General features: G+C 47.0%; 2 long non-coding RNA genes across 2 annotated transcripts, besides 2 other annotated features; both read right to left on the reverse strand.

Moving 5' to 3' along the window:
• Nucleotides 1-6,459: 6,459 nt before the first annotated feature.
• LOC105371767 (uncharacterized) lies at nucleotides 6,460-25,111 on the reverse strand. The gene is made up of 3 exons (NR_188621.1): nucleotides 24,964-25,111; nucleotides 10,347-10,443; nucleotides 6,460-7,116 (listed from the first exon to the last, which is right to left on the reverse strand). It is a non-coding gene; the product is annotated as an uncharacterized LOC105371767 (long non-coding RNA).
• Nucleotides 9,188-9,725: an enhancer, noted in NCBI's record as "OCT4-NANOG-H3K4me1 hESC enhancer chr17:37168027-37168564 (GRCh37/hg19 assembly coordinates)". NCBI's record gives its function as "activates a minimal SCP1, AML or CMV promoter by ChIP-STARR-seq in naive H9 embryonic stem cells {active_cell/tissue: H9 hESC(naive)}" and the evidence as "EXISTENCE:reporter gene assay evidence [ECO:0000049][PMID:30033119]".
• Nucleotides 9,726-10,263: an enhancer, noted in NCBI's record as "NANOG-H3K4me1 hESC enhancer chr17:37168565-37169102 (GRCh37/hg19 assembly coordinates)". NCBI's record gives its function as "activates a minimal SCP1, AML or CMV promoter by ChIP-STARR-seq in naive H9 embryonic stem cells {active_cell/tissue: H9 hESC(naive)}" and the evidence as "EXISTENCE:reporter gene assay evidence [ECO:0000049][PMID:30033119]".
• On the reverse strand, nucleotides 24,129-24,524 carry LINC02079 (long intergenic non-protein coding RNA 2079). The gene is made up of 2 exons (NR_135645.1): nucleotides 24,462-24,524; nucleotides 24,129-24,359 (listed from the first exon to the last, which is right to left on the reverse strand). It is a non-coding gene; the product is annotated as a long intergenic non-protein coding RNA 2079 (long non-coding RNA).
• Nucleotides 25,112-25,738: the final 627 nt, after the last annotated feature.

The raw sequence follows: 25,738 nt of genomic DNA on the forward strand, positions 1-25,738 counted from the left end.
TCCAGGCTCAGCCCAAACATCGCCTCTTCTGGAAAGCCTCCCTTGAATCCCACTCCTCTCCCTTCCCCGGTCTGAAAAAGTGTCCTCCTCTGTGCACATTATGTTTTGGGGCATTTTTGCCAGTAGAAGGAAGCTCAGTCTCCTGGGCTTTGAGCTCCTTGAGGGCAGGAGCCTCTATCGGTCCCTTCTGGGCTCTCAGGCACCTCACACGGTGCTGACACAACAGGTGCTTGACCCCAAGTTCTTCTGTTGATGAGCGAGGTGATCTTGGGTAAATCATTTAACCTCCTTACATTTTAGTAGAGATAAATGTACTCTACCTCCCACCGGATTAAATAAGATAGAGTGTATAAAAATACTTTGGAGATTGCATTTCATTGCTTTTCAAATGTGAGGACTTCTTATTACCATGGATGTGCAACTTCAATTAGTGTGCTTTAGAAAAATGTACTCTGTTCATTTCCCCCTCCTTCTCCGGGGCCTTCTCCGCTCCACCAAATGCCCTCTGCCTCCTTCCTTTCCCATCTGGCTGTTTTCTTCTTTTCCACCTACAAATCCATTCTCAGCTCACCCATTCTAAAAACAAGTCTTCCTCCCATCCCTCCTCCCCCTCGAGCCACAGTCCTTCCTTTCTTCCCCCCATTGCTGCCAAAGCCCTTCAAAGAGTGTTTTACTGGCGGCTTCCGGATCTCACCACCCACTTCTTTCTTAATCGGCACAATCTGGATCCGCCCTCAGCACGTCACAGTCCGTGGATCCTCTGAGAACTCCTGTGACCTCCTATTGCTGCTGGATTGCAGGCTCTTCTCGGGCTTGATCTTGGAAGCATCTGGCCCTGCTGAAACCCTCCTCCTTGGCGATAGGGATCCTGAACTTTCCCCATTTTCCTTTTCTCTCTCCAACAGTTGCTTGTTCTCTTCCCGTAAGTGTTGGCATCCTCGAGACTCTTGCCCTTTGGCCTCTTGTTTTCTCTCCTTCCTGCTTCGTGATCTCACCCACTCCCAGGACTGCCATCAGGCCCTCTTTGCAGATGTCTTCCCAGACTGCCGTTTAGCACTGAGCTCCTTTCTGAGCTGTCGGTCCATGTATCCAGCTGCTGGCTAGACAGCTACATTTGATGGTCCTGCTGGCACCTGAAACTCAAAATGTCCAAAATGAAAATCATCCATGGCTGGGCACCACGGCTCACGCCTGTAATCCCAGCACTTTGGGAGGCTGAGGCAGGCGGATCACTTGGGGCCAGGAGTTCACGACCAGCCTGGCCAACATGGTGAAACCTCATCTCTACTAAAAATACAAAAAAATTAGCTGGGCGTGGTGATGCATGCCTGTAGTCCCAGCTACTCGGGAGGCTGAGGCACAAGAATTCCTTGAACCCAAGAGGCGGAGGCTGCAATGAGCCAAGATCATGCCACTGCACTCCAGCCTGGGCAACAGAGTGAGACTCCATCTCAAAAAAAAAAAAAAAAAAAAAGGAAAATCATCCTCATACTGCTTTTCCCACCGAACCACTTCAGTTCCCGTTTGTCTTATTTCTATTAATGGTGCCCTCATTCTCCCGATCGTCTAGAAATTCCTCACTCTTGCTTTCCTCCCACATCAAGTCACTTGCCAAGTCCTATAGATCCTCTTACAGAAGTATCTGTGGTTTCCCCACCTTCGTGTTTGGAGTGCCCTCCAGAAAGGCCTTCATTACCTCTATCTAAACCATCTCCATAGCCTTACAGGTTTGGCTTTCATAATTTTTTTTCTACTTCCTTCCCTTCCCCCTCCCTCCTCCCTCCTTGTCTCTCTCTCCCTTCCTTTTCTGTCTTTCTCTCTCCTTTTCAATAAATATTTATTGAGCACCTACTATGTGCCAGGCACTGGAAAAATAAAAAGTTAATGCAGTGCAGTCCCATTCCCAAGATTTTGAAAGCCAGCAGAGCACTTATTTCAAGAGCCCTGCATTCCGGTGGGGGCCCTGCAGAAGTAAGCCACAATCACAATAGGGTGTAATTGCACTTAGGGCCTTCCAGCTGGTCTCCTGGCCCCCATTTCTTCCTCCTTCCCAATCCATGGTGTTATTAATTTGTGTTAGATTAATATTCCTCAGGTCTTGTGACAATTCCGCCAGTCCCCTTCATTGGCTGTCCATTGCTATGTCTAAGTCCTCAGTACATTTTTATGAGTTTTTAAAAATTTCCCCATCCTGCTTCTCTACATGCGTCTCCAGGGTTCTCCTCTCCTGCTCTCCACCACCCATCGTTTACTGGGAATTCTCTGAAAATGCATTGTTCCTGCCCCTGTGCCTTTCTTCTTATAATTCCCTCCTCCATCACTCTGGCTGTAAAAATTCTAATTATCGCCAGGTGCGGTGGCTCACGCCTGTAATCCTAGCACTTTGGGAGGCCGAGGTAGGCGGATCACTTGAGGTCAGGAGTTTGAGACCAGTCTGACCAACATGGTGAAACCTCATCTCTACTAAAAATACAAAAAGTAGCTGGGCGTTGTGGCGCAAGCCTGTAATCCCGCTACTCGGTAGGCTGAGGCAGGAGAATGGCTTGAACCTGAGGGGCGGAGGTTGCAGTGAGCCAAGACTGCACCACTGCACTCCAGCCTGGGTGACAGTGAGACTCCAACTCAAAAAAAAAAAAAAAAGTCCTAACCATGGGTCTATTTTGAGCCGTGACTCCAGCAGGTATAACTCTTCCCTCCAGCAGTGCTTCCAACCCCCTCGTCATTCTCACTGTGGCACAAAACGAATGATTCAACCAGCAAACCATCTGCTAGAGTCACAGAGAGCTGCAGCAACCCCCAGCTTTGTGGGGTTAACAAGCAAACCCTGAGAGCCATCTCCACCAGCAACAAGGGTCCCGTGTTAGGGGCAGACGTCCCTGAGCAGTCAGGGGAAACCTTGCACTTATCCAAGAGCACAAATAGGACCAAAGCCCCCAACACGCCATAAGGGCCATCAGCAGCATCATCGCGAGGAGGGACTGCAGAGTAGAACCCATCGTGTGGCCTCTAGAGTCCATAGTACATGGCTGGGTAGAGCAAACTGCTCACAGTTCTGGGGCACATTCTACATCTCACATGCCACCAGCTCCTCCCCTATGCTTTCCTGATTTTCTCATCACACGTTGATGCTACTGCTTTTCCGTATTGCCCCTCATGACATCTGCTGTGGTATTTGGTACCTTTTGCCTAGGAGATCTACTTTTTTTTTTTCTTAGACGGAGTCTCACTCTGTCGCCCAGTCTGGAGTGCAGTGGTGTGATCTCGACTAATTGCAGCCTCCGCCTCCCGGGTTCCAGTGATTCTCCTGCCTCAGTCTCCTGCGTGGCTGGGATTACAGTCGTGCGCCACCATGCCCAGCTAATTTTTGTATTTTTAGTAGAGACGGGGTTTCACCATGTCGGGCAGGCTGGTCTCGAACTCCTGACCTCTGACCTCAGGTGAACTGCCTGCTTCAGCCTCCCAAAATGCTGGGATTACAGGCGTGAGCCAGCGCCCCCGGCCAAGATCCACTTCTTTGTGTACCTTTTTTTTTTTTTTTTAAGAGAGAGGATCTAGATCTGTCACCCAGGCTGGAGTGCAGTGGCATGATCACAGCTCACTGCACTCAACCTCAACCACCCCAGTTCAAGCTCTGCCTCAGCCTCCCTAGTAGCTAGGACTACACGTGCACACCACCATGCCCAGCTAATTTTTAACATTATTTTTGGTAGAGATGAGGGCTCACTATGTTTCCCAGACTGGTCTTGAACTCCTGGGCTCAAGCGAACCTCCTGCCTCAGCCTCCCAAAGTGCTAAGGTTACAGGCTTGAGCCACCGTACCTGGCTCTTTGTGTACTTTTGTCTCATCCACCCTAACTACTAAACTCCCAAGCTTGTTAGGACAGTGATCACAAGCCCTGGAGCATGGGAGAAGGAGATTACTAAGTATCCGTGGACTCCAATGCAGGGAGATTTCTTCCATGGCAGGATAGGGGAGGAACCATAGCCTAGTCTTGGTACTTTCCAGGGTGACTCTCAGGGTGGCTTACACACACACACACACACACTCACCCACACTCACACACTCTTTCTCTCACTCTCTCTTAAGAAATGCTGCTGATTGATAGGTTTAGCCTCTGAAGGGAGTATCTTCTCTTCCCTACTATTCCAGCACAGAATAGAATTTTGAACCAAATGGGAATCTGAACTACAAGAATCTAATCAAAATTTTAAAACCTGAGTGTTAGGTTCTTGGCACATCTGAAAGCACCTAGCTTAATGTCTGAGACATAGGTATGTTCAGAAATGTGAATCTTATCACACACACACACACACACACACACACACACACACACACACACACACCAGGGAACCATGTAACAGGTTCTGAGACAGCACAGCCGGTTACATCTGGTTTCCAGTAGGCATGCCTTTCTTTCTTTCTCTTTCCTTTCCTTCCCTTCCCTTCCCTTCCCTCCCCTCCCCTTCCCTCCCCTCCCCTCCCCTTTTTCTTGACAGAGTTTTACTCTTGTTGCCCAGGCTGGAGTGCAATGGCGCGATCTCAGCTCAGTGCAACCTCTGCCTCCCGGGTTCAAGCGATTCTCTTGCCTCAGCCTCCCGAGTAGCTGGAATTACAGGCATGCACCACCACACCTGGCTAATTTTGTATTTTTAGTAGAGATGGGGTTTCTCCATGTTGGTCAGGCTGGTCTGGAACTCCCGACCTCAGGTGATCTGCCCGCCTCAAGTGCTGGGATTATAGGTATGAGCAGGTTTTCTTTATGGATCAATTGATGTTACTTAGGGGTAACATGCAGAATAGCTTGTTCCACGGGGCAAGGTGGACAGATCCTTGTGATTAAGGGGCTGCCCAGTGGGCATTCCTGGACTCAGCAGACAATGACTATGCCCCACCCACCACGTTATGCTAAAATGCCACAAGACATCCGAAGAAATGCTTTCTTCCTTTGGGGGTAATGCAAATATTGCCATTTTTCTGTTTCAAAGAACAACAAGACATTTTCTTGGTAATCTCTCACCTAAAGATATTATTTTGAGGGGGTTAAGAATGTCTTTATCTTTTAGAGACACATGTTGAACTGTTTATGGGTGAAATGACATGATATCTAATTTTCATTAAAAATGACTTAATTGGCCATGCGTGGTGGCTCATGCCTATAATTCCAACACTTTGGGAGGCCGAGGTGGGTGGATCACCTGAGGTCAGGAGTTCGAGACCAGCCTGGCCAACATGGTGAAACCCTGTCTCTACTAAAAAAAAAAATACAAAAAGTAGGCCGGGCATGGTGGCTCATGCCTGTAATCCCAGCACTTTGGGAGGCTGAGGAGGGCAGATCACCTGAGGTCAGGAGTTTGAGACCAGCCTGGCTAACATGGTGAAACCCTGTCTCTACTAAAAATACAAAAATTAGCCGGGCGTGGTGGTGGGCGCTATTCTGGAGGCTGAGGCAGGAGAATCACTTGAACCCAGGAGGAGGAGGTTGCAGTAAGCCGAGATCGCCTCATTGCACTCCAGCCTTGGCAACAAGAGTGAAACTCCATCTCACACACAAAAAAAAAAAATTAGGGAGAAGGGGGAGATGCAACAAGAGTGGCCCTGTGTTGATGGTTATTGTAACTTGGTGGCAGATATGTGGTGATTCATGGTACTAGTTTGTAGAACTTTTGTGTATATTAGAAATTTGCCATAACAGAAATTTTGTTTGTTTTTTTAGAGCACAGATTTTAGAGCAGAACAGACCTGGGTTCAAATTCCCTCTGGGTTCAAATTCCTGCTGTTTTGTCTGGGCAACCTTCCTATTTAAGTCTTCTGAACCCTGTTTCCGCGTTTGGAAAACACTCATAAGAATAATTCTCAGTTCACAAATTTGTTGCAAGTATACAAAGCACTTAAGGCATAGCCTGGAACATGATTGGCAATCAATAATCCTACGATAGCTTTACTTGAGCCTGACCATGCTAGCTATATAAACTGTACAGCTATGGTTTGAATGTCCCCTCCAAAACTCATGTTGAAATTTAATTGCCATTGTGATGGTTCTAAGAAGTAGGATTATTAAGAGGTGATTAGGTCATGAGGACTCCACCCTTATGAATAGGTTAATGTTGTTATTGCAGAAGTGGGTTTGCTATTGAGAGGGCAGGTTGTTATAAAAGCGAATTTGGCCCTCTCTTGCTTGCTCCTTCTCATGCTCTCTTGCCCTTCTGCCTTTCACTATGGGATGAAGCTGCATAAAGGACCTCACCAGATGCTGGTGTCATGCTCTTGGACTTCCCAGCCTCCAGAACTGTGAGCTAAGTACACATCTATTCCTAGTAAATTTCCCAGCATGTGGTATTCAGTTATAGTAGCATAAAACAGATGAAGACAACGACTTTTGGGATCAGCCTGCAATCATGGTTACTGGCAGAAGGCTGGCCTGAGGTACAAGTACAAATTATATACTTCAGACCCTTTACTGAAACTCCTGGAGGGCATTTATTTTATTATTATTACCTTATTTATTTTTTAGAGACAGGATATCACTCTGTCACCCAGGCTGGAATGCAGTGGCACAATCATGGTTCATTACAGCCTCAACCTTCTGGGCTCAAGTGATCCTCCTGACTTAGCCTCCAAGTAGCTGGGACTTCAAGTGCATCCCACCATGCTCAGCTAATTTTTAGCTTTTGCAGAGACTGGGGGGTGGGTCTCTCTATGTTGCTCAGGCAGGTCTTGAACTCCTGGCCTCAAGCCATTCTCTCATCTTGGCATCCTAGTGCTGGTATTATAGCTGTTTTGAGCCACCATGCCTGGCCTCTTTTATTATTTTTCAATGTGGAAAGTAGAGATGAGAGAGGACAGGGGCAATGGTGGGGTTTGTTCCTGGGTTCACAGCTCTGCTGTCACTGTGAGGGAGCTACAGAGGTGGGGAGGGGCAGACCAGGAAAGCAGACCCCTGAAATACAATGTCATTTGCAGATCCAGCCTCTTGTTTTCCATCCTGGACATTCTTCCATTACCAGGCAGCCAACACTTCCCAGGCTGTCCTGGGACTCGCAGTTCTGTCTACCTGGGCACAGTTTCAGGCTCCAGCTGGCAAGGCAGCCCCATCACTTTCTGCAGAGGAGCATGTGCTGGAATAGGAGACAGTGAGATCACAGGAATTCATTAGCATCCCATATTCATTTTCTTTTCCTTTCTAGGCCTTCTCCCCAACCCTCTACCCGACACCCACCTCAGTCATTTTTTTTTTTTCCCTTAGAGTAGCTGGGGGAATCTGTCAAAGCCAGTTCAGGAGCTTGCCTTTTCTGGTGTCTTTTCTAAAACTACGGCATTCAGCCCTCACCAGATGGGAACCTATCAGCTCAGCAGGCAGATAATTATTCTTTCAAGGGTGGGAGGCCCTACCATGAATGGAAATTCAGGCATTTCTGCAGCTGAGGCCCCAAAGCCCCATCATGGAAGCAGTGCACATACAGCAGACAAGCTTTACCTGGGCAAGTCTGCAGGAAGTGCTGGTCAGTGGAGGTGCGAGGAGTGAGATATAGGATGGATTCGTGTTCCCTTCCCCATGAAGCAGTGTGGAACCCACTGGACCCACTCCTGAAGTCTCTCCTTAGGGACCAGTGCAAGCCAGCCCAGTTTTGGTCTGGCTGAAGGGGGTCACCTCCTCTGTGAGGATCCAGAACTCAAGATCAGATATTAGGATGCACAGATTTCTCCTCATTTGATGGAGGAAAATTCTAATAACCAGCTGCCAACAGTGGAGCATGCTGCCAGGAAGGTAATGAGCTCCCTGTTGTTGGAAGTATTCAAGCAGATGCTGGCTGGCCACCTTCCAAGGATATTGCAAAAAGAAGACCTGACATGAATGAGAGTTTGCCTCTTATGTCCTCCAAAGTCTCTTTACCTTTATTGGTTCTCATGGTGTAAAGGGTGAACTTGGAGTCACCATAGGCCCAGGGTTCAAGTCCTGGCTGTACAGCTAGCTGGCTAGATGGCCTTGGGCAAGACACTTAATTTCTTTATGAAATTATATAGGTATATTTTATTTTTCTGATAATGGGTGATAATTATAAAAAAAAAATTTATTGGCCAGGTGCAGTGGCTCGCACCTGTAATACCAGCACTTTGGGAGGCCAAGGCAGGTGGATCACAAGGTCAGGAGACCGAGACCATCCTGGTTAACACGGTGAAACCCTGTCTCTACTAAAAATACAAAAAAATTAGCTGGGCGTGGTGGCGGGCGTCTGTAGTCCCAGCTACTTGGGAGGCTGAGGCAGGAGAATGGCATGAACCTGGGAGGCGGAGTTTGCAGTAAGCCGAGATAGCGCCACTGCACTCCAGCCTGGGCGAAAGAGTGAGACTCCATCTCAAAAAAAAAAAAATTATTATGGACACTTTCTATCCTAATATGTACAGTTTTAATGTATCTTTTTTAATTTTTAATTTTTGTGGGTACATTTTTAAATTTTGTGGGTAATTTTCTGGGTACATATATACAGTAGGTGTATATATCGGGTACATGAGATATTTTGATACAGGTATATAATGTGTAATAATCACATTAGGGTAAGTGGGGTATCCATCACCTCAAGCATTTATTCTTTGTGTTACAAATAACCCAGATACACTCTTTTAGTTATTTTATTTTTTTTTTTTTGAGACAGGATCTTTCTCTGTCACCCAGGCTAGAGGGCAGCGATGTGATCACAGATCTCTGCAGCCTTGACCTTGCTCAAGCAATCCTCTTACCTCAGCCTCCAGAGTATCTAGGACCACAGGCGCCTGTCACCATGTCTGGCTAATTTTTGTATTTTTTGTACAGTTGAGGTTTCACCATGACGCCCAGGCTGGTCTTGAACTCCCACGTTCAAGCAATCCTCCTGCCTTGGCCTCCCAAAGTGCTGGGATTACAGGCGTGAGCCACCATGCCCAGCCTTCTTTAATTATTTTAAAATGTACAGTTAAATTATTATTGACTATAAGTCATCCTGTTGTGCTATCAAATAAAGATCTTATTCATTCTTTAACTATTTTTTTGTACCCATTAATTATCTCTGATAGGATAGGAGGCAGGGAAATTCTGGGCAGAAGAGGGCAGGTCCCTGGTGAGGGCCCCGTCCTCAAGCCTGGAACTGCAGTGCAAAGTGAGAACATGCATTCCTGTTTTCCTGCTCAAATGTTGCCTTTATAAAACCACCCATGGCCCACCCTGCCCCCTATCCTGTGGCCATAAACACCTAGGCTCTGCCAGCAGAGAAGAGGAGAAAAGAGGAGAAAAGGAGAAGCAGCGGGATGTCTGAGACTATGAGTTGGATGTTACAGAGAAGTAGCTTGACTTCAGAGGGACAGCTTGACAGCATTGCTTCGGAGATGAGTGCAGTGGGGGATGGCTGGACTCCAGGGGAAGGTTATCTTCCCACTCCATCCCCATTTCAGCTCCCCTTCCCACTGAGAGCCACTTTCATTGGCAATTAAATCCCCCCAACTTACTATCTCCAATTCTTTTGTGTGACCTCATTCCTCCTGGATGCCAGACAAGAACTCAGGTGCGAGTACAAAAGACACTGACCCCCCACTGAGCTGTTAACACTTAAGCTGTCCGTGGATGGCTAAGCTAAAAGAGCGCTGACTGTAACTCTTTCTGGGGCTTCAGGGGTCATGGGCATCTCCCTAGAGGCTACCGCAGGACTGCTCAGAGTTTTGCTTCTCCTGGCACCCAAAAGCGCTCGCCCCGACTGCTGCACTCACTCACCTGTGCTTCCCCTCCTGCAAGGCGGGGGACAAAGCAGGACTGAGTGAGTGGAGTCTGTCCTTGCCAGCACCGGCACCCTAGCGGCCGGCTAGTTCTAGTGCCCATGCACTCCGGTTCCCACCGGTGAAGGGGTTGGGGACATTTCCTGCTTCATCCTCACTTCCCACCCACCCCTGACTGCCCTTCCCAGCCTCTGGTAACCCTCAGGCTACTTTTTATCTCCATGAGTTCAATTGTTTTAAAATTTTTAGATCCCACAAATAAGTGGGAACATGTAAAGTTTGTCTTTCCTGGCTTATTTCACTTATCCTTTTTAATAGCTATGTGCCTAAGTCCTTTAAACCAGTGGTCCCCAACCTTTTTAGCACCAGGAACTGATTTTGTGGAAGACAGTTCTTCCAAGAACTGGATTGCCGTGTATGGCTTTGGGATGAAACTGTTCCACCTTAGATCATCAGGCATTAGATTCTCATAAGGAGTGTGCAACCTGGATCCCTGGCATGCACAGTTCACAATAGGGTTTGTGCTCCTATGAGAATCCAATGCTGCCACTGATCTGACAGGAGGCGGAGCTCAGGCAGTAATGCTCCCTTGGCTGCCACTCACCTCCTGCTGTGTGGCTCGGTTCCTAACAGGCCGTGAACTCGTGCAGGTCTGTGGTCCAGCAGTTGGTGATCTCTGCTTTAAACCATGGCTTCCTCACCTGTAAAATGAAATAATAATGAAATTGTGAAGATTACATAAATATTAAATAATGAAACACACATAACACGCTTAGCGTTTAGTTAAGCATCTAAAACATGTTGATAGGCCGGGTGCGGGGGCTCATGCCTGTAATCCCAGAACTTTGGGAGGCCGAGGCGGGCAGATCAGTTGAGGTTAGGAATTCAAGATCAGCCTGGTCAGCATGGTGAAACCTCACCTCTACTACAAAATACAAAAATTAGCCAGGCCTGGTGGTACGTGCCTGTAATCTCAGCTACTCGGGAGGCTGAGGCAGGAGAATTGCTTGAACCTGGAAGGTGGAGGTTGCCGTGAGCCAAGATCGCACCACTGTATTCCAGCCTGGGTGACAGAGTGAGACCCTGTCTCAAAAAAAAAAAAAAAAAAAAGGTCATTGATCATTATTTGAAAACAGCCCTGACTCCTAGAAGTATGAGGTAAGTCTCAGATGTAATTAAAAATTTTCTTGTAGCCACACTAAAACAGTAACAAACAATAAACAAGTGAAATTATTATTATTATTTTTTGAGGCAGAGTCTCGCTCTGTCACCCAGGCTAGAGTGCAGTGGTGCAATCTCGACTTACTGCAACCTCCACCTCCCGGGTTCAAGCGATTCTCCTGCCTGAGCCTTCTGAGTAGCTGGGACTACAGGCATGAGCCACCCCAACTGGCTAATTTCTTGTATTTTTAGTAGATACGGAGTTTCACCATGTTGGCCAGGCTGGTCTTGAACTCCTGACCTCAGGTGATCCACCTGCCTCAGCCTCCCAAAGTGCTGGGATCACAGGTGTGAGCCACTGTGCCCCACCAAATTAATTTTAATAATTTACTTAACCCAACGTCCTCAAAACATGTAATCAATATAAAAATTATTAACGAGATATGTTTATAATCTTATTTTTGTGCCAAGTTTTAAAACTCTGTTGTGTTTTTTGCACTTACAGCACATCTCAGTTTAGACTGGCCATGTGTTAGGTGCTCAATGGTCACATATAGCTAGCAGCTGCCATATTGAACAGTGCAGCACTAAATCTTCTATCTTCGCTCTCCTTTGATTTACTGTAACTCTGACAGTGTAGTCTGTGTGGTGTTATGATATATATTGGTTTTCATCTATGGTTCTGAAACTGCCATTGCAAAATTATAACTGAGACAGTGAAAGCAATCTGACCTAACCAACTCCATCTTGCTTCTAACCTCCAAGCTGTCTTTGTTCATTCCTAGGAGTAGGCCAAACTAAATTTGGGAGGAGCTTAAATTTATAGTTTTACTTTGAAACAAAGATGATAACAGCTCATTCCCCTAAACAAACCCCCTTCTTGCCTGGGGACCAGACTGCCTTTGTAGGACTAACAAATTAGCCGAAAGATTAGAAATTATGGTTTAGGAGCCAGGCAGCTGGAGGCTACAAGATTCTAACCCTCCCCAAATTGCTCCTGGGGACAACATCACTATTGTAAGAAGTAAGATCAGATATTTTACAGATTCTGCACTTGATGGATCAGCTGGCATCACCCAGATCAATAAACTGGCTCATGTGATCTTGTGGACCCACTCAGGAACTGACTCTGGAAGAGGACAGCTTTAACTCCCTATGATTTCATCTTCGACCCAATGAGTCAGCACTTCCGACTCACTGGCCCCTCCACCCACCAAATTATCCTTGAAAACTCTGATCCCTGAATGCTCAGGGAGACTGATTTGAGAAATAATAAAACTCTGGTCTCCCACACAGCTGGCTCTGTGTGAATTACTGTCTCTATTGCAGTTCCCGTCTTGACTAACGGGCTCGGTCTAGGCAGCAGGCAAGGTGAACTCGTTGGGCTGTTCCTGGCTGATAACTCCCAGAGCCCTTCTTACAGTCTTGTTAGAACATTGGGTATGTTAGGCCTCAGGGGCAGGCCTCTGACCTTCTCCTGCCCTCCTTTCACCTGAATGTTCCCCTGATTTCATGACTATGAGTCTGAAGACCACACCCTGGGGGAAGGAATGCTGACATCGTGAAGCTTCCATAAAAACCCAAGAGGCCAGGCTTGGTGGCTCACGCCTCTAATCTCAGCATTTTGGGAGGCCAAGGCAGGAGGACTGCTTGAGGCCAGGAGTTTGGGACCAGCCTGGGCAAAGTGGCAAAATTCCATTTCTACTAAAAATACAAAAAAGTAACTGGGCCTGGTGGTGCACTCCTGTAGTCCCAGCCACTCAGGAGGCTGAGGTGGGAGGATTGCTTGAGCCTGGGAGGTGGAAGTTGCAGTGAGCCGAGATTGCGTCACTACACTGAAGCCTGGGTGACAGAGCAAGACCTTGTCTCAAAAACAAAACAAAACAAGCCCCAAGAGGACAGGGCCCAGTGAGCTTCTGGATAGCTGAACACTGGAGCTTCCTGGAGGGTGATGGGCCCAGGGGGCGCGTGGAAGCTCCGTACCCCTTCCCCCACACCTCACCCTACATGTCTCTTAGATGGGATACTTCCCTCAACCCCCTTCGCGAGTGGGAACTGGAGTGGCTTGTTGCACTCAGCCTGTCACTGACCACTCCTCATGGGAGGGAAAGTGTGAGTGAATAAGTGTGGGAACCCGAGGGGACAAATGCTGGAACCGGCCATTCGCTCCTCTCTGGCTGCATCAGGTTCTGTGTGGGCCCCGCACAGCGTCCAAGCATGTTACAACCAATGCTCTTTCAGTTCTGCTGTCCAGGGCTGGTCGAGTGCCAACTAGCTCAGTGGAGGGTCAGAGTGGGAGCCCCTGCCCTCTCGGCACCCAGATTCTTGTCCAGCATCCAGGAAGAATAAGCTCACATGAACTGTTTGAAATGTGATGAATGGCCGGGCGCAGTGGCTCACGCCTGTAATCCTAGCACTTTGGGAGGCTGAGGTGGGCAGATCGCTTGAGGTTAGGAGTTTGAGACCAGCCTGGCCAACATGGTGAAACCTCGCCTCTACTAAAAATACAAAAATTAGCCAGGTGTGGTGGCGCGTGCCTGTAGTCCTAGCTACTCTGGAGGCTGAGGCACAAGAATCACTTGAACCCGGGACGCGGAGGTTGCAGTGAGCCGATGTCGTGCCATTGCACTCCAGCCTGAGAGACAGAGTGAGACTCCGTCTCAAAAAAAAAGAAGTGATGAATGCGGAAGACTTTATTGAGTGGTGAGTGACTCTCAGTGGAAAGGGAGGCTGGAAAAGGGATGGGAAGGTGATCTTTCCCTGAAGCCTGGCCGTCTCCAGCTGGGCCCCTCTCAGAAGCTGCACCATCTGAAGTTAGCTGCATCTATCCGTAGTCTCCGATGCTCAGTTGCTTCTCTGGTCACAGCTCACATGCTTGTATCCTGACCCTCAGCCACTTGTGTTGCTGTGCCAGCTGAAGTCTTTTATGGGAACAGGATAGGGGCGGGGCAGGCCAAAAAAGGCAACGTTTGGGTGGAAGAATGGGTTCAGCTGTTTTCACCTAGGGCCATGGTTCCAGGCTTAAGGGTGGGGTTTAGTTGGGAGCCCAGCCCTTCTGTATCATCTTCATCTGTATCCTTTGTAATATCCTTCTAATAAACCAGTACATGTAAGTGTCTCCCTGAGTTCTGTGAACTGATTCAGCAAATTAATTGAACCCAAAGAGGGGTCATGGGAAGCCTAACTTGAAGCCTGTTGGCCAGAAGTTCTGGAGGCCTGGACTTGCGACTGGTGTGGGAGTGGGGCAGTCTTGGACACTGAGCCCCCAGCCTGTGGGATCTGACACTATCTCCATGTAGATAGTGTCAGAACAGAATTAGAGGACACCCAGCTGGTGTCCAGTCCTTGGTGTGTGGAGGCAAACCTCCACACACATGGTCACAGAAGCCTTCTGTGTTGATTGTTGTGGTGTGAGAGTAGAGGAAAAACATGGTTAGAGAGAGTTTGAGCTGGGAACCGTGGATATTACCTAATCTACATCATGACACCACATCCTGCTTACCCATGGATTAGGTTCACGTGGCTCATTGCTTTCATGTGATTTCTTTTTTTCTTTTCTTTTCTTTTTTTTTTTATTTGAGACAGAGTGTCACTCTGTTGCCCAGGCTGGAGTGCACTGGTGTGATCTCGGCTCACTGCAACCTCTGCTGCCTGGGTTCAAGTGATTCTTGTGCCTCAGCCTCCCAAGTAGCTGGGATTACAGGGGCCCACAACCATGCCTAGCTAATTTTTGTATTTTTAGTAGAGATGGGGTTTCACCATGTTGGTCCGGCTGGTCTTGAACTCCTGACCTCAGGTGATCCACCCACCTCGGTCTCCCAAAGGGCTGGGATTACAGGCGTGAGCCACTGCGCCAGCCTCTTGTGATTTCATCTTGCCTCACTGACTCCACAGTAAGCACTGTAAGTGCGACTAGTTCTTGTTTTCTGTATTTTCAGAACTGCTTTCCTGGGCCCAGGATAAGTGCCCAAGAAGCGTGTTTGGACTGACATCCTTGGGAATCCAACAATGGTTAAAGATAACCACTTCCTTTCTACCTGCTGATGTGGAGCACATATGAGGCGCTAAGCACCGCCTGCACCAGGCGAGCCATTCAGTAAATGTTAGCTCTTATTGTTCTCTTATTGGTGGTGGGCAGAGTTGAAGTTCTGATGAGATCTTCTCAGAAGGGTTACATTGCAGGGGGGCCTTGGAAAATCATTCAGGGCTCTGAGATTCAGTTTCCTTCATCCCTGAAATGGGATGCGAATTCCCCCCTTGCCAACCTCAAAGAACTAGTAGGATGGTGCAAAAGTAATTGTGGTTTTTGCCATTAAAAGCAATAGCAAAACTGCATTACTTTTGTACCACCATGCCCAGCTCATTTTTTGTATTTATTATTATTATTTTTTTTCCGAGACGGAATTTCACTCTTGTTGCCCAAGCTGGAGTGCAATGGCGTGATCTCGGCTCACTGCAACCTCTGCCTCCAGGGTTCAAGCGATTCTCCTGCCTCAGCCTCCCGAGTAGCTGGGATTACAGGCACCCACCAACACACCCGGCTAAATTTTTTTTAATTTTTACTAGAGACGGGGTTTCACCATGTTGGCCAGACTGCTCTCGAACTCCTGACCTCAGGTGATACACCCACCTCAGCCTCCCAAAGTGCTGGGATTTCAGGCGTGAGCTACCACGGCCAGCCTAATTTTTTGTATTTTAATATGATGATCAGATGAGATATTCTGAGAAAGTGTTTAGAAAACTAAGGGGATCCATCAATCTAAAGTATCATTAAACTTGCACTGAGCTCAGCATCATGCTTGGGCTTGGGCAGGGGGAGAGACCGCAGCGGGTGCCGGGACGGCCCCATCTCTGCATGCGCTCTGCTTGCCCTGCCTTTAAGACTTGAACGTGTGAAAGTGCCTTGAAAGCTGTAAAGTCCTATCCAAGGGATCCTTTTATGATGAGCAGGGGTGGAGGCGGGAGTGGGAGTATCAGCTATGCCAGACTGACGAGGAGCTTTGTTTTACTAGAGTGCAGGAAATACAACTGGTGCAAGAGACCTGCATTCATCCAGGTTCTTGTAATTGCTGGGTGTCAAATCCACACAGTTGCTTGAAAAGAAGAAACCAAGATGGAAGTAACAGAAACCACAGAGGTGGTTATGTCTTTTAATAATCAGACCCAAGGAGGAGAACTGAGAGAAAGCTTGAAGGAAACCTGCAGGAGCTTGTCTGCTTCTCTAAGGTCTCAAAGGCAGAACTACTTCCTCAAAAGGCCTTTTGGTAAATCACCATAAACAAAGGAAAGCGGAAATTCCTTTAAGCTTTTTGGTGCTTGATTCTAATCCACCCTGAGCCATGGTCCCAGGCCTCCTACGCTCCTTGCTCCTCCGATGTTTATATGACAGAAAGTTATTTTCCCCAGAAACTGACAATCTGGATTGCAAAGACCAGGCCAGGAAGGAATTTATTCCAGAAACACTTGCAGTGTCTGGCACTTTGCTCCCCATTTCCTCATTTTGTGTTGTTTGTTTATGCAGTGGAACTGCCTATGAGTCATATATTTGGGTGCTGAGGATGAAGAGTTAATTTGGATGAAGAGTTAATCCAGAGCAAGGTCACAACTCTCTTGAATTCTATGAAGGCTGAGAGGGGTGATGAAGCTTCAGAAGAAAAGTTTGAAGCTCGCAGAGGTTGGCTGAAGGAATGAAGCTGTCTCTGTAACATAAAGGTGTAAGGTGAAGCAGCAAGTGCTGATGGAGAAGCTGCAGCAAGTTGTCGAGAGATCTAGCTCAGATCACTGATGAAGGTGGCTACGCTCAACAACAGATTTTCAATGTGGATGAAACAACCTTCTATTGGAAGAAGATGCCAGCTAGGACTTTCATAACTAGAGAGAAGTCAATGCCTGGCTTCAAGGGATAGGCTGACCCTCTTGATAGGGGCAAATGCAGCTGGTGACTTTATAGTCTTTTACCTTTCTAGAAATCCTAGGGCCCTTAATAATCATGCTAAATTTACTCTGCCTGTGTTCTATAAATGGAACAACAAAGCCTGGATGTCAGCACATATTTATAGCATGGCTTAGCAAATATTTTAAGTTTACTGTTGAGACCTACTGCTTAGAAAAAAAGATTCTTTAAAAAATATTACTGCTCATTGACAATGCACTTGGTCATCCAAGAGCTCTGACGGAAATGTACAAGGAGATCAATGTTGTTTTCATGCCTGCTAACACAACATCTGTTCTACAGCCCATGGATCAAGGTGTAATTTCCACTTTCAAATCTTATTATTTCAGAAGTTCATTCTGTAAGGCTATTGCTGACATAGATGGTGCTTCCTCTTGGGTGGGCGCGGTGGCTCACGCCTGTAATCCCAGCACTTTGGGAGGCCGAGGCAGGCAGATCACGAGGTCAGGAAATCAAGACCATCCTGGCTAACATGGTGAAACCCCGTCTCTACTAAAAATACAAAAATTAGCTGGGCGTGGTGGTGAGTGCCTGTAATCCCAACTACTTGGGAGGCCGTGGCAGGAGAATTGCTTGAACCCAGGAGGCAGAGGTTGCAGTGAGCTGAGATCACGCCATTGCACTCCAGCCTCGGTGACAGAGCAAGACTCCATCTCAAAAACAACAACAACAATTTAGAAGAAGTTGATTCCAATGCTTATGGATGACTTTGAGGAGTTCAGACTTCAGTGGAGAGTAACTGCAGATGTTGTGGAAATAGCAAGATAACCAGAATTAGAAGTGGAGCCTGAAGATGAAACTGAATTGCTGCCATCTCATGATAACACTTGAATGGATGAGGAGTTGCTCCTTTTTTTTTTTTTTTTTTTTGAGATGAAGTCTGGCTCTTGTGCCCCAGGCTGGAGTGCAGTGGTGTGATCTCGGCTCACTGCAACTTCTGCCTCCCGGGTTCAAGCGGTTCTCCTGCCTCAGCCTCCCGATTAGCTGGGATTACAGGCACTTGCCACCATGCTCAGCTAATTTTTGTATTTTTAGTAGAGATGGGGTTTCACCATGTTGGCCAGGCTGGTCTCGAACTTCTGACCTCAGGTGATCTGCCTGCCTCAGCCTCCCAAAGTGTTGGGATTACAGGCGTGAGCCACCGCGTCAGGCCAGGAGTTGCTTCTTATGGATGAGCAAGGAAAGTGGTTTCTTGAGATGGAATCTACTCCTGGTGAAGATACTATGAACATTGTTGAAATGGCAACAAAGAATTTACAATATTCCATAAGCTTAGTTAATAAGCAGCAGCAGAGTTTGAGAGGATCAACTCCAATTTTGAAAGAAGTTTTACTGGGGGTAAAATGCTATCAAACAGCAGTGCATGGTACAGAGAAATCTTTTGTGAAAGGAAGAGTCAATCAATGTGACAAACATAACTGTTGTCTTATTGTAAGAAATTGTTATGACCACCCAACCCTTCAGCAACCACTACCCTAATCAGTCAGCAGGCATGACATTGAGGCAAGACCCTCCACCAGCAAAAAGATCATGACTTGCCAGAGGCTCAGATGATTGTCAGCATTTTTTAGGCAATATTTTAAAGTTAAGGTATTGATAGCGGCAGGAGGCAGACAGATCCTAGGCAGACAGGGGTGGGTCCCCAATGAAAGCTGACCTCCAAACCAGACAGTTTAAAGGCTGAAAGCCAAGCTACAAGTCTTGGATAAATCCGTGGACAGATTGAGAACCTCTCTTTCTGTTTGGCACGCTTTCCTCTGATCGATCCCTGCCTTTAACCTATTTTACATATGCCTACTCTTCCCTGTTTTTTTACGCTGTGCCCATCTTTAAGTGGTGCCTTTTTTTTTCAGCCTTTTTGGCATACTCACAAACCAGTCAGCACACACTCTCCCATTCTGAACCCATAAAAATCCTCTTCAGTCCTGGTTCCACTTCCTGTAACTGAAACAATTACCTGCGAGGTATTATTTAACTTTTGGACTATGATGTTTCTAACCTGTGACCATTTCACATAGCCATTCAAATATAAAGGTACGGTAAAGATTATGAAACGGGTTGGGTGCAGTGGCTCATGCCTGTATTCCCAGCACTTTGGGAGGCCGAGGTGGGTGGATCATGAGGTCAGGAGTTCGAGACCAGCCTGAGCAACATGGTGAAACCTCGTCTCTACTAAAAATACAAAAATTAGCCAGGCGTGGTGGTGCGTGCTGTAATCCCAGCTACTCAGGAGGCTAAGGCAGGAGAATTACTTGAACCTGGGAGGCAGAGGTTGCAGTGAGCTAAGATCGTGCCACTGTACTCCAGCCTGGGCAACAGAGCGAGATTCCATCTCAAAAAAAAAAAAATGAAACAGTTACTTGGTATCATTTTGTAAGTAATGAGTTTTTAGTGCTCTTTGGACATTGAGACCATTTCATAAGATTTAGGTTTTGAGAATTTCACAGCATAAAGCCCATCACTGATGCAGCAATGAAGGAAATGTTCTACAACTCAACAGACAGGTGAGAGGAGAAATGTAATTCATATTAGATTTATTTATTTACTGAACTTAGAGCCTGGGGTTACTACTCGACCCCCACTGTTATCTAGTTTAAGTGTTCTTTTCTACTTTAGCACATACACCTAGTTTCTGTGTTTTTTGCCTTTTATAAATACAGAAAAGAGAATAATGTTTTAAAATAAAATCAAGGAAAGGCCTAAGGCACCTGAGAGGGTTTTGTTTTTGTTTTTGTTTTTTTTTTTTTCAGTGAAATGAAGGGAAATTGTTGCCAGCAAGAACTGTGGCAAGGTTATCCAAGGTGACAAATGTCTGTACCACCCAGCAGCTCCGAGTCCTTCTGAAGCATCCTGGTTGTCCAGAAAGACTCCACCGTGACTCATGATACCGGCCAGTCTTCCCGGTAGCACTCAACATTCGAAAATTAGTCTTCATTTCTCCTTCCCAACATGCATTTCTCCTTCTCTTCAGTTGGAGAAAGTAATTTAATTTTTTTTTTTATAGAGTCTCGCTCTGTTGCCCAGGCTGGAGTGCAGTGGCGCAATCTTGGCTCACTGCAAGCTTCGCCTTCTGGGTTCACGCCATTCTCCCGCCTCAGCCTCCTGAGTAGCTGGGACTACAGGTGCCCGCCACCACACCCGGCTAATTTTTTTTTTTTTGTATTTTTAGTAGAGACGGGGTTTCACCGTGTTAGCCAGGATAGTCTCGATCTCTTGACCTCGTGATCCGCCCGCCTCGGCCTCCCAAAGTGCTGGGATTACAGGTGTGAGCCACCGTGCCCAGCCTTACATCACCAATTCTTTCTTATATGTCTATTTTTTAAGTGTAGTATATGATTATATTCATGAAATTCAAATGATACAAATGAAGTCAAATCTATTTGTATTAGAAATTAATAAGAATTAACAGTAAAGTTAATTCTTTATTGATTTGCACACCTATAGTTGCAGCTACTTGGGAGGCTGAGGCAGGAGAATCGCTTGATCCCGGGACGTGGAGGTTGCAGTGAGCCAGGATGGCGCCACTGCACTCCAGCCTGGTGACAGAGCGAGACTCTGTCTCAAAAAACAAAACAAAACAAAAAGAATTGATGATGTAAGAAATCCACAGGAATGTGTAAATTATTTCAAGAATTAACACTCAGTAGATACTTGCATTCCCAAATAAGCTTATAAATGCAGATGAACCTCTAGTTGTTTTAGTTGCTTGTAAAATTCATAGAGGTACGTGTATTTCTTCATTTAACACGGGTTAGTCACTTGGGGAGGGGGATGGGTGTTGGGTTCTTTTTACCTGTTCTTCAGGTCACATACTCAAGCAGGAGCTACTGAATGGGAAGACTGAAACAATTTCTTTTCTTTGCACACTTGGTATTGATAAATGTCAGGTGTATGCAAAATAAAATCTCTGGCAGGTTGTGATATTTATGGGTCTATCTCTTGTGACTGTAGTTTCGTCTCGGCACCAGACATAAGGCAGTTCAATGTCAGGCCATTGCCCTAAACAGTTCCCGATGCCAAGAACTGACAAATTGCTACTTTGGTTTCAATGGATGGTCAAAAGGGATCATCAGGGCAAACCTTGTAGATTTTCTTTCACCAACCCTATTCTCCTTTCAACATTGAAATCCTAGACTTTAGACAGAAATATTGAACTGGGTTGTAGTGAGGAGATATGAGAGGCCTCCTGCCATTGAGGATAAGTGGATATGTCTGAATTGGCCTGCTACCTAGAATTAATAATCTCAATCACTTGGAGGGTGGTATCCATAATTTTCTCCACTATTTGTGCCACCACACCCGGCTATTTTTAGTAGAGATGGGGTTTCACCATGTTGGCCAGGCTGTTCTTGAACTCCTGGCCTCCACCTGCCTCAGCCTCCCAAAGTGCTGGGATTACAGGCATGGGCCACCATGTCCAGCCAACCAAACCTTTTTCTCTTTTTCTTTCCTTTTCTTTCTTTTCTTTTCTTTTTTTTTTTTTTTGAGATGGAGTTTCACTCTTCTTGCTCAGGCGGGAGTGCAGTGGTGTGATCTTGGCTCACTGCAACCTTTGCCTCCCGGGTTACAGCGATTCTCCTGTCTCAGCCTCCTGAGCATCTGGGATTACAGGCATGCACCACCACACCTGGCTAATTTTTGGTATTTTTAGTAGAGACGGGGTTTCACCATGTTGGTCAGGCTGGTCTCGAACTCCTGACCTCAGGTGATCCTGCCGCCTCAGCCTCCCAAAGTGCTGGTATTACAGGCGTGAGCTGCCGCGCAGGCCGTAAGTATGATTCTTATACAATAATCAGCGGCTTTGCTGTGAACCTTGGAAGTGGTCATGCTATTGAATGGCATTGTTTGTATTCCCCATTCACTTCTACAGTGGCACAAATGTTATAGGCTGTGCCTAAAGGAAACCTGATGATTAACAAAGAGTCCCTGAACAGAGTTGCTCCTGCTTCACAGTGCTGAAGGCTTAGAGACTGAGAGATCCTAATTAAGTTACCACAGACCTTTATTTGCTTGTAAGAGACGGCCCTGATTGCTCTCAGCTTTCCAACCTGGGCAGCCCTGCTAGTGAAAGTATTACTTCCTTGGTCATCAACTGTCAAGTCTGAGTAACAACCTTTAAGAACCAAACTGAATGTGTGGGTTGTTTACCTCTCCCTCATACTCGAAGGTATCCCTTGCACACCTTCAAAACCTCTTAGACCAAAAGCCTTATGGCTCTAGTTTGCCTGGAAGGAAGTTGTATTGTCTATAGAGTATGTGTGCCAGTTTCTGCAATAAAATGTTCAAATGTTCTCTCTCTCTGAAACTTTGTTCATTGTATCTGGTGGAATTTTGGTTCTCAGGGAGTAGACACCTGGCCCTTGCTTCTAATGTGAAGTGTCTACCAGCCCAGTGGTCTCTATTCCAGATTTGAACTTACTTTGACCCCCGCCTTATTATGTCTTAGAATTTAATCATATCATTATTATTATTTTTGAGATACAGTTTCACTCTGTCACTCGGGCTGGAGTGCAGTGGCGCGATCTTGACTCACTGAGACCTCCGCCTCCCGGGTTCAAGCAATTCTCATGCTTCAGCCTCCCGAGTAGCTGGGATTATAGGCGTGGGCCACCACGCCTGGCAAATTTTTGTATTATTAGGAGAGATAAGGTTTCACCACGTTGACCAGGCTGGTCTTGAACTCCTGACCTCAGGTGATCCGCCTGCCTCGGCCTCGAAAAGTGCTAGGATTACAGGCGTGAACCACCACGCCTGGCCACCATTTAATCATATTATGATTGAACATTTTCGTTTCCACAGTTTTGTATTTCTTATGTTATTATTCCTTAGTTCCTATCTGTAAGATCATAAAGTCCTTTGAACCAAACACAGTTAATATTTTATACATATGTTAAAAACTGAGGGCTGGGTGTGGTGGCTCACGCCTGTAATCCAAGCACTTTGGGAGGCCGAGGCAGGTGGATCATGAGGTCAGGAGATCGAGACCATCCTAGCTAACACTGTGAAACCCCATCTCTACTAAAAATACAAAAAATTAGCCAGGCGTGGTGGCAGGCACCTGTAGTCCCAGCTGAGGCAGGCAGGAGAATGGCGTGAACCCAGGAGGCAGAGCTTGCAGTGAGCCGAGATCGCGCCACTGCACTCCAGCCCCAGCCCGGGTGACAGAGTGAGACTCCGTCTCAAAACAAACAAACAAAAAACAAAACAAAACAAAACAAAAAAACTGAGGTGTGAGCCCGGACATGGGGACTCACACCTGTAATCTCAGCACTTTGGGAGGCCAAGGCAGGAGGATCACTTGAAGCCAGGAGTTTGAGACCAGCCTGGGCAACAAAGCGAGACCATGTCTTAAAAAAAAAAAATTACCCAGGCACAGTGGTGTGTACCTGTAGTCCCAGCTACTCTGGAGGCTCAGGCAGGAGGATCACTTGAGCCCAGGAATTCCAGGCAGCAGTGAGCTATGATAGTGCCACTGAACTCTAGCCTGGGTAACAGAGTGAGCCCCTATAAAAAGAAGGAAGGAAGGAAGGGAAGGAAGGAAGGAAGGAAGGAAGGAAGGAAGGAAGGAAGGAAGGAAAACAAGTGTGAGATGAGGAGATGAGGAAACTTTCAGAAAAATGCTCTTATTTTCTGCTTTTAGAAACCAAAAGATGAAATGGTAAGGCATCAGGTGGGAATCAAAGTAAGTTCAAAGATGGAATAGAGACCACTGGGCTAGTAGACACTTCACATTAGAAGGTTGCAGTGAGCCTAGCCCGCGCCACTGCACTCCAGCCTTGGGTGACAGAGCGAGACTCTGTCTCAAAAAAAAAAAAAAAAAAGAATGTCTCATCATGGGGTACTACCATTATACGCAGGATTTTTTTTTTTTAGATGGAGTTTCACTCTTGTTGCCCAGGCTGGAGTGCAATGGTGCGATCTCGGCTCACTGCAACCTCAGCCTCCCAGGATCAAGCGATTCTCCTACCTCAGCCTCCCCAGTAGCTGGAATTACAGGCACACACCACCACACCCGGCTAATTTTTTGCATTTTTAGTAGAGACGGGGTTTCTCCATGTTGGTCAGGCTAGTCTCGAACTCCCGACCTCAGGTGATCTGCCTGCCTCGGCCACCCAAAGTGCTGGGATTATAGGCATGAGCCACCGCGCCCGGCCTGTGCAGGAAGTTTTAGAACGAAAAAGATTCTGAATTGATCCTTGCTAACTTTATTTCAGAAAGTGGTAAAATAGCTGTGAAGTACAGACCCAGTGAAGAGATTGTAGGTGTCAGATGTAAAGAAGAACTACACGGTTTAATTCAAGTATGTGGAGATAAAAACTCACTGGTAACATAACCAGCGTAAACATAATTCAAAACAAGCAGCAGAATTTGGAGGATAATTTGTTTCATTCTCAGGAAAATGTGAAACTCTGAAACTGCTTTTGAGTGCAGGGTATTTCTGGGGCTTTTCCTGAAGTCTTGACCCATGTCTCTGACCCCTTATTTGAAGTTTGGAGAGCAGAACTGAGGACGGTTAGAGTATTACTACAGTTGTGGACACAGGAAAGGGGTTAGTCTCCCCCCACCACCCAGGAGTAAAGGGTGCTGGGCTGCTTGAACACAGACCTTTTAGAATTCCCTTCAAACAGGATCCCAAATCTTTCCTCGCTAAGGGGAGGGGAGGGGTGTTCGGAGGTGGGGTGGGACAGGAAGTGGGGTTTGGATGGGATTGTGGGATAAGATCGCGGAGCGGATCTGGACCCGAGCCTAATAAAGGCGGTGTAAATACAGGTGTCATAAAGGACGGGGCGGGGCGCGCGGTTGTCAGGGGCGCAAGCGTCTCGGGGCTGCCAGAATGGCTCCGGCTCAGGGCGCGGCGCCAGCGCCTGTCATGTCCCAGCTGCGCCTCTGGGTCCCACGGCACCTCCTCAGGTTGGCAACTACTGTGGCTACTAGTCCAGGAGGCTCAGCCTCTGGAGTGGGTCCAGGACCGGCTCCAGCCGACTTCCGACCCTCTGGGGCCGACTGAGCCCTGGTTTTCCTGCTCCCCCAGTCTCCCACCCGAATCTCCCTTTGCGCTTACCCCCGACCCCCGCCCCCACCGGCAGACCCCGGGGACTTTGATTACCTGGGGTCCTCTGCTTCCTCCCAGATGTCAGCTCCGCCTCAGGAATCGACTGAGACTTTGACCGAGACTTTGGTTCCATTCCTGGACACAGATTCAGCTGGAGAGCTGGCCCCGGGGCCAGAGCAGTTAGCGGCTGCACACCAGGACCTGAATGACAAGCTGACTTGGCAAGAAAGGCTCCCAGAGGGGGTCTCAGTGCTGGACTGGGATCAGAAACAGACCTTTGCTCGGCCTCCTCGCCTCAAAAGTAAGGTTCATACTGCAGATCTAGATCAGGCTGCAGATCATCAGGCAAATTAAATACTTTACTTGTTCCACCTCTAGATAGTCAGAATTCAGGCCGGGCGCGGTGGCTCACATAATCCCAGTACTTTGGGAGGCTGAGGCGGGCGGATCACGAGGTCAGGAGATAAGAGACCATCCTGGATAACACGGTGAAACTCCGTCTCTACTAAAAATACAAAAAATTAGCAGGACTTGGTGGCACGCGCCTGCAGTTACTCGGGAGGCTGAGGCAGGAGAATCGCTTGAACCCGGGAGGTGGAGGTTGCAGTGAGCCGAGATCGTGCCACTGCACTCCAGCCTGGGTGACAAAGCGAGATTCCATCTCAAAAAAAAAAAAATAAATAAATAAATATAAAATAAATTAAAAAACAAAATAAAATAAATAAGATAGAATTCAAAAGCAACCAAGTTTACTGTTTCGCCCAAGAACCTGAACAAAGATCTAGCTAAGTATCTGAAGCTTGCTAAGGTTGTTGTGTGGAACTCCACA

This window comes from Homo sapiens, chromosome 17 (genome assembly GCF_000001405.40).
Source record: "Homo sapiens chromosome 17, GRCh38.p14 Primary Assembly".
Lineage (NCBI taxonomy): Eukaryota > Metazoa > Chordata > Mammalia > Primates > Hominidae > Homo > Homo sapiens.